Source organism: Homo sapiens, chromosome 7 (assembly GCF_000001405.40).
Source record: "Homo sapiens chromosome 7, GRCh38.p14 Primary Assembly".
Taxonomy (NCBI): domain Eukaryota; kingdom Metazoa; phylum Chordata; class Mammalia; order Primates; family Hominidae; genus Homo; species Homo sapiens.
The window spans coordinates 95,019,497-95,035,507 of NC_000007.14; the positions used below are offsets into that span (position 1 = coordinate 95,019,497).

At 37.6% G+C, this 16,011-nt stretch overlaps 1 protein-coding gene across 43 annotated transcripts in view, besides 1 other annotated feature; it reads left to right on the forward strand.

Annotated features, from left to right (window-relative positions):
• Nucleotides 1-16,011, forward strand: part of PPP1R9A (protein phosphatase 1 regulatory subunit 9A) — a 389,180-nt gene that overhangs the window by 112,261 nt on the left and 260,908 nt on the right. The window lies entirely within an intron of this gene.
• Nucleotides 7,089-7,588: an enhancer, noted in NCBI's record as "H3K27ac hESC enhancer chr7:94655897-94656396 (GRCh37/hg19 assembly coordinates)". NCBI's record gives its function as "activates a minimal SCP1, AML or CMV promoter by ChIP-STARR-seq in naive H9 embryonic stem cells {active_cell/tissue: H9 hESC(naive)}" and the evidence as "EXISTENCE:reporter gene assay evidence [ECO:0000049][PMID:30033119]".

Genomic DNA, 16,011 nt, shown 5'->3' on the forward strand with positions numbered 1-16,011 from the left:
ACATATATCAGACAAAGGACTTGTGTCCAGAATATATAAAGTACTCTTTCCATTTAATAATAACAGGACAATCCAATTTTAAAATAGTGGGCAAAATTTTTGAACTAATACTTGATAAAAGAAAATACATGAATAATCGATAAACCATAAAAAGATGATTAGCATAGGTTGTTATCAGAGAAGTGCAAAGTAAAATCACAATTTTATCTTACTCTACATCCATTAGGATGGCAAGCATGTGGAACAACTGGAAATTATATATATCGCTGAAGTAAATGTAAAACAGTAAACAGTTTGGCAATTGCTTGAAGCATTAAACATCCCCCCTCGCCCAAACCAGCCATTCCACTCCTAGTTATTTATACAAGAGAAATGAAAACATGTGCCCATACAGAAATTTGTACATGAATGTTGATAGCAGTTTCATTTGCAATAGCCAAAACTGGAAACAACCCAATATCCATCAACAGGTGAATGGAGAAACAAACTGTATCATACCCAAACAGTGGACTCAGCAGTCAAAAGGAACAAATGGCTATATCATTATCATCATCATCATCATCATCATCATCATTGATGAATTTCAAAATAATTACCCTTAAAGAAGCCAGACCAATAGAGAAATATTTATTATATAATTCTACTTATATACAGTTCTAGAAAGTGCAATGAACCTGTAGTGACATAAAGCAGATCAATGTTACCTGGAAACAGGGTACAGTGAGAATTGGATTGTAAAGGGTCTGGTAGAAATGCTTGTTATCTTAGGTGTAGTGATGGTTTCATGGGAATATATAGGTCAGAAATCATCAAATTGTACAGTTTACATATCCAGGTCATTGTGAATCAAATGTCAATAAAATTTAAAACGAAGATATAAATTAAATATTTTATTATTTTTTAGAATATTCAATTTGTAAGTTCAACTTTATCATAGAAAAGAGCTACATTTTTGTTGTTATTTATTTATTTATTTGTATTATACTTTAAGTTCTAGGGTACATGTGCAGCACGTGCAGGTTTGTTACATAGGTATACATGTGCCATGGTGGTTTGCTGCACCCATCAACCCGTCATCTACATTAGGTATTTCTCCTACTGCTATCCCTCCCCTAGCCACCAGCCCCCATCCTGTCCCCCAGACAGGCCCCTTCTTGTGTCCATGTGTTCTCATTGTTCAGCTCCCACTTATGAGTGAGAACATGTAGTGTTTGGTTTTCTGTTCTTGTGTTAGTTTGCTGAGAATGATGGTTTCCAGCTTCATCCATGTCCCTACAAATAACATGAACTCATCCTTTTCAAATAACATGAACTCAGCCATAGCTGCATAGTATTCCGTGGTGTATATGTGTCACATTTTCTTTATCCAGTCTGTCATTGCTGGGCATTTGGGTTGGTTCCAAGTCTTTGCTATTGTGAACAGTGCTGCAGTAAACATACGTGTGCATGTGTCTTTACAGTAGAATGATTTATAATCCTTTGGGTATATACCCAGTAATGGGATTGCTGAGTCAAATGGTATTTCTAGTTCTAGATCCTTGAGGAATCGCCGCACTGTCTTCCACAATGGTTGAACTAATTTACACTCCCACCAGTAGTGTAAAAGCATTCCTATTTCTCCACATCCTCTCCAGCATCTGTTGTTTCCTGACATTTTAATGATCGCCATTCTAACTGGTGTGAGATGGTGTCTCATTGTGGTTTTGATTTGCATTTCTCTAATGACCAGTGATGATGAGCATTTTTTCATGTTTGTTGGCCGCATAAATGTCTTCTTTTGAAAAGTGTTCATATTCTTTGCTCACTTTTTGATGGGGTTGGTTTTTTTTTTTTCTTGTAAATTTATTTAAGTTCTTTCTAGATTCTGGATATTAGCCCTTTGTCAGATGGATAGATTGCAAAAATTTTCTCCCATTCTGTAGGTTGCCTGTTCACTCTGATGATAGTTTCTTTTGCTTTGAAGAAGCTCTAGTTTAATTAGATCCCATTTGTCAATTTTGGCTTTTGTTGCCATTACTTTTGGTGTTTTAGTCATGAAGTCTTTGCCCATGCCTGTGTCCTGAATGGTATTGCCTAGGGTTACTTCTAGGGTTTTTATGGTTTTAGGTCTTATGTTTAAGTCTTTAATCCATCTTGAGTTAATGTTTGTATAAGATGTAAGGAAGGGGTCCAGTTTCAGTTTTTTGCATATGGCTAGCCAGTTTTCCCAACACCATTTATTAAATAGGGAATCCTTTCCCCATTGGTTGTTTTTGTGAGGTTTGTCAAAGATCAGATGGTTGTAGATGTGTGGTGTTATTTCCAAGGGCTCTGTTCTGTTCCGTTGGTCTATATCTCTGTTTTTGTACCAGTACCATGCTGTTTTGGTTACTGTAGCCTTGTAGTGTAGTTTGAAGTTAGGTAGCGTGATGGCTCCAGCTTTGTTCTTTTTGCTTAGGATTGTCTTGGCTATGTGGGCTGTTTTTTGGTTCCATATGAAATTTAAAGTAGTTTTTTCCTAATTCTGTGAAGAAAGTCAATGGTAGCTTGATGGGAATCACACTGAATCTATAAATTACTTTGGGCAGTATGGCCATTTTCACAATATTGATTCTTTCCTATCCATGAGCATGGAATGTTTTCCATTTGTGTGTGTCCTCTCTTATTTCCTTGAGCAGTGGTTTGTAGTTCTCCTTGAAGAGGTCCTTCACATCCCTTGTAAGTTATATTCCTAGGTATTTTATTCTCTTTGTAGCAATTGTGAATGGGAGTTCACTCATGACTTGCCTCTCTGTTTGTCTATTATTGATGTATAGGAATGCTTGTGATTTTTGCAACTTGATTTTTTTATCCTGAGACTTTGCTCAAGTTGCTTATCAGCTTAAGGAGATTTGGGGCTGAGATGATGGAGTTTGTAAATATACAATATACAATTATGTCATCTGCAAATAGAGACAATTTGACTTCCTCTATTCCTATTTGAATATCCTTTATTTCTTTCTCTTGCCTGACTGCCCTGGCCAGAACTTCCAATACTATATTGAATAGTAGTGGTAAGAGAGGGCATCTTTGTCTTGTGCTGGTTTTCAAAGGGAATGCTTCCAGTTTTTGCCCATTCAGTATGATATTGGCTATGGGTTTGTCACAAATAGCTGGTCTTATTTTGAGATATGTGCCATCAATATCTAGTTTATTGAGAGTTTTTAGCATGAAGGGGTGTTGAATTTTATTGAAGGCCTTTTCTGCATCTATTGAGGTAATCATGTGGTTTTTTTCATTGGTTCTGTTTATGTGATGGATTACATTTATTGATTTGTGTATGTTGAACCAGACTTGCATCTCAGGGATGAAGCCAACTTGATCGTGGTGGATAAGCTTTTTGATGTCCTGCTGGATTTGGTTTGCCAGTATTTTATTGAGGATTTTAGCATCAATGTTCATCAGGAATATTGGCCTGAAATTTTCTTTTTTGTTGTGTCTCTGCCAGGTTTTGGTATCAGGATGATGCTGGCCTCATAAAATGAGTTTAGGAGAATTCCCTCTTTTTCTATCGTTTGGAATAGTTTCAGAAGGAATGGTACCAGCTCCTCTTTGTACCTCTGGTAGAATTCGGCTGTGATTCTGTCTGGTCCTGGACTTTTTTTGGTTGGTAGGCTGTTAATTACTGCCTCAGTTTTAGAACTTGTTATTGGTCTATTCAGTGATTCGAATTCTTCCTTGTTTAGACTTGGGAGGGTGTATGTGTCGAGAAATTTATTCATTTCTTCTAGATTTTCTAGTTTATTTTTGTAGAGTTGTTTATAGTATTCTCTGATGGTAGTTTGTATTTCTTTGGGATCAGTGGTGATATCCCCTTTATCATTTTTAATTGCATCTATTTGATTCTTCTCTCTTTTCTTCTTTATTAGTCTGGCTAGCGGTCTATTTTGTTGATCTTTTCAAAAATGCAGCTCCTGGATTCATTGATTTTTTTGAATGGTTTTTCATGTCTCTATCTCCTTCAGTTCTGCTCTCATATTAGGTATTTCTCGTCTTCTGCTAGCTTTTGAATTATTTATTTGCCCGTTGCTTTTCTAGTTCTTTTTTTTGTTTGTTTGAGATGGAGTCTTGCTCTGTTGCCCAGGCTGGAGTGCAGTGGCGCGATCTTGGCTCACTGCAAGCTCTGCCTCCTGGTTTCACGCCATTCTCCTGCCTCCTTCCTGAGTAGCTGGGACTACAGGCACCCATCACCACACCTGGCTAATTCTTTTGTATTTTTATTAGAGTTGGAGTTTCACCGTGTTAGCCAGGAGGGTGTTAATCTCCTGACCCTGTGATCTGCCCGCCTTGGCCTCCCAAAGTGTTGGGATTACAGGCGTGAGCCACCATGCCCGGCCTTCTCTAGTTCTTTTAATTGTGATGTTAGGGTGTCGATTTTAGATCTTTCCTGCTTTCTCTTGTGGGCATTTAGTGCTATAAGTTTCTCTCGAAACACTGCTTTAGCCGTGTCCCAGAGATTCTGGTATGTTGTGTCTTTGTTTTCATTGGTTTCGAAGAAATGTTTTCTGCCCTAATTTCTTTGTTTACCCAGTAGTCCTTTAGTAGCACGTTGTTCAGTTTCCATGTAATTGTGTGGTTTTGAGTGAGTTTCTTAATCCTGAGTTCTAATTTGATTGCACTGTGATCTGAGAGACTGTTAAGATTTCCATTCTTTTCCATTTGCTGAGGAGTGTTTTACTTCCAATTATGTGGTCAATTTTAGAGTAAGTGTGATGTGGTGCTCAGAATGTATATTCTGTTGATTTGGGGTGGAGATTTCTGTAGATGTCTGTTAGGTCACTTGGACCAGAGCTCAGTTCAAGTCCTGAATATCCTTGTTAATTTTCTGCCTCCTTGAGGTGTCTGATATACACAGTGGGGTGTTAAAATCTCCCACTATTATTGTGTGGGAGTCTAAATCTCTTTGTAGGTCTCTAAGAACTTGCTATATGAATCTGGGTGTTCCTGTAGTGGGTGCATGTATATTTAGGATAATTAGGTCTTCTTGTTGCGTTGATCCCTTTACCATTATATAATGCCTTTCTTTGTCTCATTTGATCTTTGTTGGTTTAAAGTCTGTTTTCTCTTAGAGTGGGATCGCAACCTCTGCTTTTTTTTTGTTTTCCATTTGCTTGGTAAATATTTCTTCATCCCTTTATTTTGAGCCTATGTGTATCTTAGCACATGAGATAGGTCTCCTGAATACAGCACACCGATAGGTTTTGAGCCTTTATCCAATTTGCCAGTCTGTGTCTTTTAATTGGGGCATTTAGACCATTTACATTTAAGGTTAATATTGTTATGTGTGAATTTGATACTGTCATTATGATGCTAGCTGGTTATTTTGCCCATTAGTTGATGCAGTTTCTTCCTAGTGTCAATAGGCTTTGTAATTTGGTATGTTTTTGCAGTGGCTCGTATCGATTATTCCTTTCCAAGTTTAGTGCTTCCTTCAGGAGCTCTTGTAAGGCAGGCCTGGTTGTGAGAAAATCTCTCAGCCTTTGCTTGTCTGTGAAGGATTTTATTTCTCCTTTGCGTATGAAGCTTAGTTTGGCTGGGTATGAAATTCTGGGTTGAAAATCCTTTTTTTTTTTGAGATGGAGTCTCGCTGTCACCTGGCTTGAGTGCAATGGCATGATCTCAGCTCACTGCAACCTCTGCCTCCTGGGTTCAAGCAATTCTCCTGCCTCAGCCTCCCGAGTAGTTGAGATTACAGGTGGTCACCACCATGTCTGGCTAATTTTTGTATTTTTAGTAGAGACGGGGTTTCACCATGTTGGCCAGGCTGTTCTTGAACTCCTGACCTCGTGATCCACCCTCCTCAGCCTCCCAAAGTGCTGGAATTACAGGCGTGAACCACTGTGCCTGGCGAAAATTCTTTTCTTTAAGAATGTTGAATATTGGCCCCCACTCTCTTCTGGCTTGTAGGGTTTCTGCAGAGAGATTCACTGTTAGCCTGATGGGCTTGCCTTTGTGGGTAACCCGACATTTCTCTCTGGCTGCCCTTAACATTTTTTCCTTTATTTCAACCTTGGTGAATCTGACGATTATGTGTCTTGCAGTTGCTCTTCTTGAGGAGTAACTTTTTAGTATTCTCTGTATTTCCTGAATTTAAATGTTGGCCTGTCTTGCTAGGTTGGGCAAGTTCTCCTGGATAAAATCCTGAAGAGTGTTTTCCGACTTGGTTCCATTCCCCCTGTCACTTTCAGGTACACCAATCAACCATAGATTTGGTCTTTTCACATAGTCCCATATTTCTTGGAGGCTTTATTCATTCCTTTTCATTCCTTTTTCTCTAATATTGTCTTCATGCTTTATTTCATTAAGTTGATCTTCAATCTCTTGATACCCTTTCTTCAGTTTGATCAATTTGGCTATTGATACTTGTGTATAATTCACGAAGTTCTTGGGCTTTGCTTTTCAGCTCCATCAGATCATTTATGTTCTTCTCTAAACTGGTTATTCTAGTTAGCAAATTCCTCTGTCCTTTTATCAAGGTTCTTAGCTTCCTTGCATTGGGTTAGAACATGTTCCTTTAGCTCAGAGGAGTTTGTTATTACCTGTCTTCTGAAGCCTATTTCTGTCAGTTTGTCAAACTCATTCTCCATTCAGTTTTGTTTTCTTGCTGGCAAGGAGTTGTGATCCTTTGGAGGAAGAGGCTTTCTGGTGTTTGGAATTTTCAGCCTTTTCATGCTGGTTTCTTCTGATCTTTGTGGATTTATTTACCTTTGGTTTTTGATGTTGGTGACCTTCAGATGGGGTTTCTGTGTGCACATCCTTTTTGTTGATGTTGATGCTATTTGTTTCTGTTTGTTAGTTTTCCTTCTAACAGTTAGGCCTCTCTACTGCAGGTCTGCTGGAGTTTGCTGGAGGTCTACTCCAGACCCAGTTTACCTGGGTATCACCAGTGGAGGCTGCAGATCAGCAAAGATTGCTGCCTGTTCCTTGCTCTGGAAGCTTTGTCCTAGAGGGGCACCCTCCAGATGCCAGCCGGAGCTCTCCTGTGTGAGGTGTCTATTGGTCCCTGCTGTGAGGTGTTTCCCAGTCAGGAGACACAGGTGTCAGCGACCTACTTGAGGAGGTGGTCTAGTCTGACCCTTAGTGGAACTCAAATACTGTGCTGGGAGATCTGCTGCTCTCTTCAGAGCTGGCAGGCAGGGACGTTTAAATCTGCTGAAGCTGCACCCACAGTTGCCCCTTCCCTGAGGTGCTCTGTCCCAGGGAGATGGGGGTTTTATTTATAAGCCTCTGACTGGGGTTGCTGCCTTTTTTTCAGAGATACCCTGCCCAGAATGTGGGAATCTGGAGAGGCAGTCTGGCTACAGTGGCTTTGCTGAGGTGTGGAAAGCTCTGCCCAGCTGGAACTTCCCCTCTGCTTTGTTTACACTGTGAGGGGAAAACCACGTACTCAAGCCTCAGCAATGGCGGACACCCCTACCCCCACCAAGCTTGAGTGTCCCAGTTCGACTTCAGACTGCTGTGCTGGTAGTGAGAATTTCAAGCCAGTGGATCTTAGCTTGCTGGACTCCATAGGGGTGGGATCTGCTGAGCTAGACCACTTGGCTCCCTGACTTCAGCCCCCTTTCCAAGGGAGTGAATGGTTCTGTCTTGCTGGTGTTACAGGTGCCACCGGGGTATGAAAAAATACTCCTGCAGCTAGCTTGGTGTCTGCCTAAACAGCCACCCAGTTTTGTGCTTGAAACCCAGGGCCCTGGTGGCATAGGCACTGGAGGGAATCTCCTGGTCTAAAGGTTGCAAAGACCGTGGGAAAAGTGTAGTATCTGGGCCAGAATGCACCATTCCTCACAGCACAGTCCCTCACGGCTTCCCTTGGCTATGGGAGGGAGTTTTCTGACCTCTTGCACTTCCTGGGTGAGGTGATGCCCCACCCTGCTTCGGCTCGCCCCAAGTGGGCTGCACCCACTGTCTAACCAGTCCCCATGAGATGAGCTGTGTACCTCGGTTGGAAATGCAGAAATCACCCACGTTCTGCGTTGATCTAGCTGGGTGCTGCAGACCATAGCTGTTCCTATTCAGCTATCTTGCCAGCCTCTCTTGAAAAGAGCTACATTTTTATAGTCATGTGTCACTTAGCGACGGGGATACGTTCTGAGAGATGCTTCAAGGTGATTTTGTTGTTGTGCAAACATCATGGACTTTATTTAAACCTAAATGATATAGCCTGCTACACACCTAGGCTATATGGTTTAGTCTATTGCTCTTAGCAACAAACATGTGCAGCATGTTACTGTACTGAATACTGTTGGCAGTTGTATCACGATGGTAAGTATTTGTATAGTTTAATATATCTAAACATAGAAGAGGTACAGTAAAATTACTGTATGGTATTATAATCTTATGGGACCACCCTCATTTTTGTGGTCTATTGTCAGCCAAAACCTCTTTATGCTGCATGCCTCATGTGACTGTATTTGATTTATGTATTTTGTTTTTTTGTGCTGTGGCTTCATGAATGACCTGCCTGTGTATTTACTTTTAGGTCCATTGAGTGACATATATTCGTTTTCAGGATAACATAAAATTATTTTCATTTTATTCAGCCTCACTTTTCTCAACCATAAATTTAGGGCTGTCTCATATCACCAAAGGTTCTTCTGTGACTAAAATTCTGTATTGTGATTATGGATAAATGAGTCTTTCAGGATTCAGAATCACCTCAGAAGACAATACTGTAGAGAAATCAAGTATATTTAATCATACAACTCATGTGTAATCCTTTTAGAGAATATTTTGATGATTTTAGATCAATTTAGTAATGCAAAGTTGGACAAACAGAAAGCAGCTGCCCAAAGATGAAAACTCAGCCTAGAATAACTGATATTTCTAATCAGGGGTATAAATGAAATATGAGAAATATGAAATTTTCTTTCATAAAAATGAATTCATATTGCTTACTATATATTTGGAATTAGAATAGCAATCTCAAATGCTCTGCTGAAGGGAAATTTAAAAATTAACACAACACATTTTATTAATATATTGTTCATGTAATTGCATATATTAACATGTAATCTAGGTAAGTTTTATTAGAAATCGTGTGATGGAATAAATATTAGGTAACATTTTAGGGCTAGAGGAAATAATGTGTGTTCACTTGGCTGAATAGAATGTGGAGCATAAGTGGGGAAGTTTTTGAAAAAGTGCTTTTTATGAAGTTTAAAGTTCTTAGAATGTGCATATGTTTTACTCTATTATGCTTGTTACGTAAAGAACATCCTATTTAATACATACAAACAAATTCCATAGACAGATGTTCCCTGGTGACAGAAATTAAACACCTACAGAAGTTGTTTGTAGCAGGGCTGCATTGACATAATAGCCCTCTTTGAGTGGAGCCTAAAGCAGGAAGATAGCTTAACTGATTGAACCTTGTGGTTTCACTCTTTAGACCTGCTTGGACAAACAAGGAGGTCAGTGTGAAAAGTCTATTTGCAGATTGGTCTCAGAAGAAATTCTCAGAAGTGATTTTTTTTTAAAGCCAAGGAAAATAGAACTCCTGTTTTTGGTGCATATGTCACAGCTGAGCCTTTCTGTTTGAAGAGCTTCATTTAATAATTTTTGCCTTTTGGAGTGTAGGTGCTAGACTATATCCTAGACACTGTAGCATTGATAAATGTTAACATACAGAGGCCGCGTATATTCTTTGCACCAAATACTTTCCTTGTTCACACTGTTCTGTCACAAATCTTTTTCACAGGGTGAGGAAGTGTTTTATGGGAGGCCAAGCTACTTTTTAAAAGATGGTATGAAAACATGAATTGAAATGTATTATTGTTATTGTTATTATTGTTGTGTAGTAAGTCCTAACTTAATGGAAATTTTTGTGTTCTGGAACTGTAAGCAAGTTTTGAGTCCATTGGAAGTAGACCAGATTTTGATTTATAAAAAATATTTGGAAAAACAATTAGAGAAATTGTGATTGAGATAATTGATTCCAGGCAATAGCTTATGATGTTAAAATTCTGTGCAATTACATAGAATGTATATTAAAATATTGCTCAACTGTTTAACCATCAGTGAATGAAGGGAGCCCAGAAGGTCTGTTTAGTCTTAAGTAATTACAGAAGACAACTTGTGTGTTGTAAAGTGATTTTTCCACTTAATAACTTTGGTAAAGAACTATTAGGGATAGGAGACTTATATCATGCTACTGCTGGAATTATTGTAATTAATTTTTAAATGGGAATTTTATCTAATAAATCCCAGGGAAGAAAATTTTATTTTGAAGCATGTCTTTCCTATCACACTCATTATTGGCTTTTTGGAAAATTATTTTAGACATGTGTTTGATTTCATATTTCTGATGCATATCTTAGTGAATCAAAACTGACATACATTGCCGTTTTAGTTGGCATTTACTTTACTAAATGATTGGTACATTTACTAAGTTTACATGTTATTGTTTTAAAGCGACAGCAGGCTTAACTTGAGCATCATGGCTGTTGCAGGTACTAGGGCTCTCGCCTTTGCAGTAGGATGAATATGGTAATGACAGTGCAAGAGAGATTCCAAAGACGTATATCTCATCGCTAACTCTATTTTAGCCCTTTGAGCTCGTCCTTTAGTTAGAATTTTAAGTTTCTCTAGGGTACTTCTTAGGCTTCTTTTGCTGTGCACAGTGCCCTCTCTTAATTAACAGCAGAGTAATATTGGGCAAATGTCTGAGAGCATCAATATCCTCATCTGTGAAATAGTGTTAATAACATATATCACAGTGTAGCTGGTCAGATCCAAATGAGAAATATTTAGAAAGATTTTTAATAAGTAAACAAGTGTTTAGTAAAACACTTTTTAAAAACATCTTTCAAATGTTATCTTAGTTCACTTTAATTAGCAAGTTGAATCAAACTGACAGTCTCTTTGGCATTTGGTGGTGTTCTAGATAGCCAGTAGTTACTATTCCGTTAAGTTCCTCTGAGACTGTAGAGAAAAACTGTACATTTTGATATGTTTTGTTGAAAAACATTTTTGTAATCTTTTAATTTTTTTTTTAATTTTGCACAGATTGAGATCAGGGAAAGAGACTGACATATACTTTTAGATGTCTGATTTCCTAGAGGCAAATATTTTGGACTGAGTTTTCCTGTCCAAGTGTTAGCTCTGAAGTTCTTACCATTATAATGACAACAAAGAAAAAAGAGGTGGTAACCCCAAAAAGAACAGGGAGCAACGTTGCCTACCTACATGCATAAAGCTGCCAGTAATTTGATCGACTCAACCAAAGAGATAGAAAAATTTGAAGTCAGATCCACTAAATCTCTTACTCTTCCTTTAGAAGGCATAAAGTATATTTCACCCACATAGCGTTTACCCAAGGGTGATATTCCAAATATTTAACAACCTATGTGGCATAGGCACCAAGGATTCAGGACTGGAACAGCATACTGGGCCTGCCCTTTCCTCCTGGGGTTTCGCTCTTTAGTTGTGGAGTTGTGGGGAATATAGGGCAGGTGGCTTATTCAGGGATTCTGGGAGAGGAGACTGGGAACCTCGTGTGGGAAAGGGGTAGTTGGGCCCTCTATTAAACAGCAGCTGATGGCCAAGTAGGGCAGAAACCCATGTGTGACTATTGAATATCAACCTTGCGTTTACCTGAATGTGTCTACCCAAAACTGGATTCATAATACTGGTTTTCAATTTTGTCTTATGGAAACTTGTTCTTCCTTTTGTTTACTTTAATCAGTTGTAGGAGATAGTTGAAGGAATAACTTAATATAACATTTAATTCCTAACGTTGGCAGCTGAATGTATAACTTAGATGTAACATTAAATTTCTAACATTTTTAGGAAGGTATACAGAAAGCGTTACCTCTAATAAGTAAAAATATAAGTTCTGGGAAAATTATTTAAAGAAACCCTATTTGGAATCCTTTCATAAAGTGATAATTTTAATTTATCTTGGGCATAATATTGGATCTTTAATAAAATCTTTGCTGTAAAATCAGTATTATAGAAACTGGCTAGGCACAGTGGCTAATGCCTGTAATCCGAGTACTTTAGGAGTTTCAGGTGGGTGGGATCACCTTAGGTCAGGAGTTCAAGACCAGCCTGACCAACATGGTGAAATGCCGTTTCTACTAAAAATATCAAAATTAACTAGGCCTGATGGTGTACACCTGTAATCCCAGGTACTCAGGAGGCTGAGGCAGACGAATCACTTGAACCTGGGAGGCGGAGGCTGCAGTGAGCTAAGATTGCATCACTGCACTGCAGCCTGGGCAAGAGAGTGAGATTTGGTGATTCAGTTTCAAAAAAAAAAAAAAAAGAAAAGTCAATATAGAACCTTAAATAGTATATAGTTTTTGAAGGACTAATTCATATGTAATTATGGAAATGGGAAGATAACCTTAAATTATTTCAACTAGACTGGTCCAAGTCATCTGTAGTCAGTCAGTCAGTCACTCAGCTAGTAAATGCCTGAGGCAAAACCTCGGATTTCTGTTTCCTATTATTTCTACTGTACCCTATCTGTATTCAGAAGTGATGGTCTATTTTATAATCTGTCTGCTTCAAATCACTTTGGCAACCATTATGATATATAGCCTTTTGAGATATGTAGCATGGATTTTATTGTTTCTGTTTGAAATTTGGGGAAACTGAGTCCCAGAATTTCCTGGTTTTAGGTCTTATTTCACTTGTCATGCTGGTGGATGTCAAAGATGCAGTTTATCACCATTCCTGTGTAGCTAGCCAAAGGTATCCATCCGTGCTTCTCTTGGTTGCATAAAATTATGGTGAGAGTTAGTAGATGGTGCAGGTTCATGGACGATTTCTCAAAATGCATTTTATGAAAACATGTCACAGAGAGAGAAAACTTGATACTTGTGTTTTTACTAAGACATAATCTTTTTTTTTTTAAATTGAATGAGAAACTGAGATCTAGAGGAGCAAGCTCACTATTCAGGAAGATTTACTCATCAAACTAAGGGTAGGAATAGTAAAACTAATTGAATCATTTCCCCCAAATCTACCCTTATCTAAAGCTTATTTCTTCAGCTTTAGCTGGTCAATTTCTAGACCAATGCCCCCACTTCCCTGTAACCTTCTCTGGCAAAAGCAATATATCTTATTATATTCTACCCCACAATGGTGAGTCTGACTCTAGAACAACAAAATGGGGAAAATCTGAATCTAGAAGTTCCATTTTTCAGGAGAATCTTTATTTTGGGCTATATAGCCTGTGTTGTCTGGAAAATTGTCACTGAGTTCTTTTAGTACAATTAAGACAGTCTGCTATATTACAAAATATATACAAAAGTGTGTAAAACTGTCTTATATTGTGTATAATTACGAGTAATTATAAAATAAACACCTGTGTAAACCACCTCCTACATTAAGAAGTAGAATATTGTCTTCACCTCAGAAGTCTCTAATTCTTAGAGGTAACCACTGTTCCTGATTTAACAGTAATCATTCTGTTACCTTTAAAATAATATTATTTAATGCATTCCTAAATAGTAGTAGTATACCTTACTCTTTAATTTTTAATTTTTTAATTTTTTTATTTTGAGACAGAGTCTTGCTCTGTCGCCTGGGCTGGAGTGTAGTGGCATGCTGTTGGCTCACTGCAAACTCTGCCTCCTGGATTCACGCCATTCTCTTGCCTCAGCCTCCCGAGTAGCTGGAACTACAGGCACCCGCCACCATGCCTGGCTAATTTTTTTTTTTTTTTTTTTTTTTTAGTAGAGACGGGTTTTCACCGTGTTAGCCAGGATGGTCTCGATCTCCTGACCTCGTGATCCGCCCGCCTTGGCCTCCCAAAGTGCTGGGATTACAGGCATGAGCCACCGCTCCTGGCCTAATTTTTTATTTTTAAGTATGTGTTCAAGTCCTTTGTCTATTTTTCATTCTAGTGAGCTATCTTTTCTTATCAGTTTGTACAATTTATATATGTAGTTTGACTGGAAACCTAATTGCTTCTATGGGTCACAGTGTCCTGTCTCATTCTGCACCATGTCTTTTCACTCTTCATTATGTTTTCTGTTGAGCAAAAGTTTTTTTTCAATTTAGCCAAATTTATCAGTTATTTCCTTGATGGTTAGTGCTTTTTGTGTGTCATTTTAGAAATCTTTCCCACCTCAAGGTCATGAAGATTTTTCTCCTGTATCCTAAAAGTTTTATATTTTGCTTGTGTTCACATTAAGTCCTGAAAACTTACCTGAAGTTGATTTTTGTGTGTGTCAGAGAAGGATCCAATTCCATTTTTTTTTCCATATGGACATCTAGTGGTCTCAATATTGTCATTGAAAAGTCTGTCCTTTTTCTGCTTCTATGAAGTGTGCCAGTTTTGTCTTAAATCAATGATTCATATATGTATGGGTCTGTTTCTAGGTTTTTCTGGTCTGTCCCATTTGTCTTTTGTTTTTGTGATGCTATATACCAATGCTGCACTATCTTCATTGCTATTTATTTATAATAAATATTCATATCTCATAAAGTTCTTACACATTGTTCTTCAAAATTGCCTTGTTTTTTATTCTTGGCCTTTTGCGTTTGCATATAAATTTGAGAATCAGTCAGTTTCCACAGAAACTTTTTTGTGAATTTAGACTGGGATAACATTTAGTCCATGGTAATTTGGAGAAAACTGTCATCTTTATATTTACTCTTCAATCCATATAAATAGTGTATATTTTCATTTATCCAGGTCTTTTTAAATGTCTCAATAACATTTTATGAAGTTATCTTTAGAGATTTTTGTATGTCCTTTGCTAGCTGTAGTCCCATTTAGCAAGATTTCTGGTATACAAGATTAAAATAAAAATTAGTTATATCTATATAATATCAATAAACATAATAACATTTTTAAAATACAGCATTAATTAAAAAAATATTCTAAGCAATACAATAGCATTTATTCTAAATATATTTAAAATTAAGGTGTAAATTTCTCACACATCGTGTTTTGTCCTTTGTTTCTTTTTTGAGACTACAACCTCTGCCTCCCAGGTTCAGGTGATTCTCATGCCTCAGCCTCCCGAATAGCTGGAATTACAGCCAGCTAATTTTCACATTTTTAGTAGACACAGGGTTTCACCACGTTGGTCCAGCTGGTCTCGAACTCCTGACTTCAATTGGTCTGCCAGCCTCAGCCTCCCAAAGTGCAGGGATTACAGGCATGAGCCACCACACCCGGTCGTATTTTGTCCTTTGAACTCTAAAAGTTTATGGTATTTGAGTCTACAAATACAGTAGTGCTGCATTTACCAATTATTTGTACATTTGTATCAATTATTCAGAATTATGGAATATTCTAGTTTGAGAAGTAAGAGATACTTGATTTTATAGTGTTAATAGCAAGAAAAAATGCTTTACTTTCTTGCCTATATTTTTGTTTAATCTTTTTAACAACCTTAAGAGTAGAGCATTATGATTTCTGTTCTATAGCAGATGAGACCTAAATGCAGGGATGTTAATTAATTTGCACAATATCACAGGGCTAGAAAGTTGTGAGTACCATGATCTGAACCAGGCTGTGTTTAACACCAACATCCATGATGTTTTCACTATAATATTTTGCCACATATCAATAACTCCTGAGCTCAGTGCAGTATTTCAGCATGGGGATGGTAATTGATTATGATAATGAGAAATCTGAAGCATCAAAAGACTAATTAATATTCAGTTTATTCTGTTTTATTAGGCGTAAAAGAGGGTACTACATTTTTCAGATTTCTATTCAAAACATTAAAATCAAAGTTTAAGCCTGCTGAGCTTCAATTAATGATTCAAATTAATTAAAAATATTTTTCCTATAGTAAAGAGAACATATAATGCATGAATGTAGTACTCATTAATGCTATATATTTGTTAAAATAGAAAAATGTTTTATATTTAAATACTCCACATTGTACATAGAGCCCAATTTTTTAGCATAGGAAAAAATGTGAAATTTTAGCTTATATTTATATATCTTTTCTCCTTCTGTCAGTGACTGCCACCTTGCCAAATCTGTGGGAGTTTTATGATCTGTTATCCTCTGAGATCTGTGGA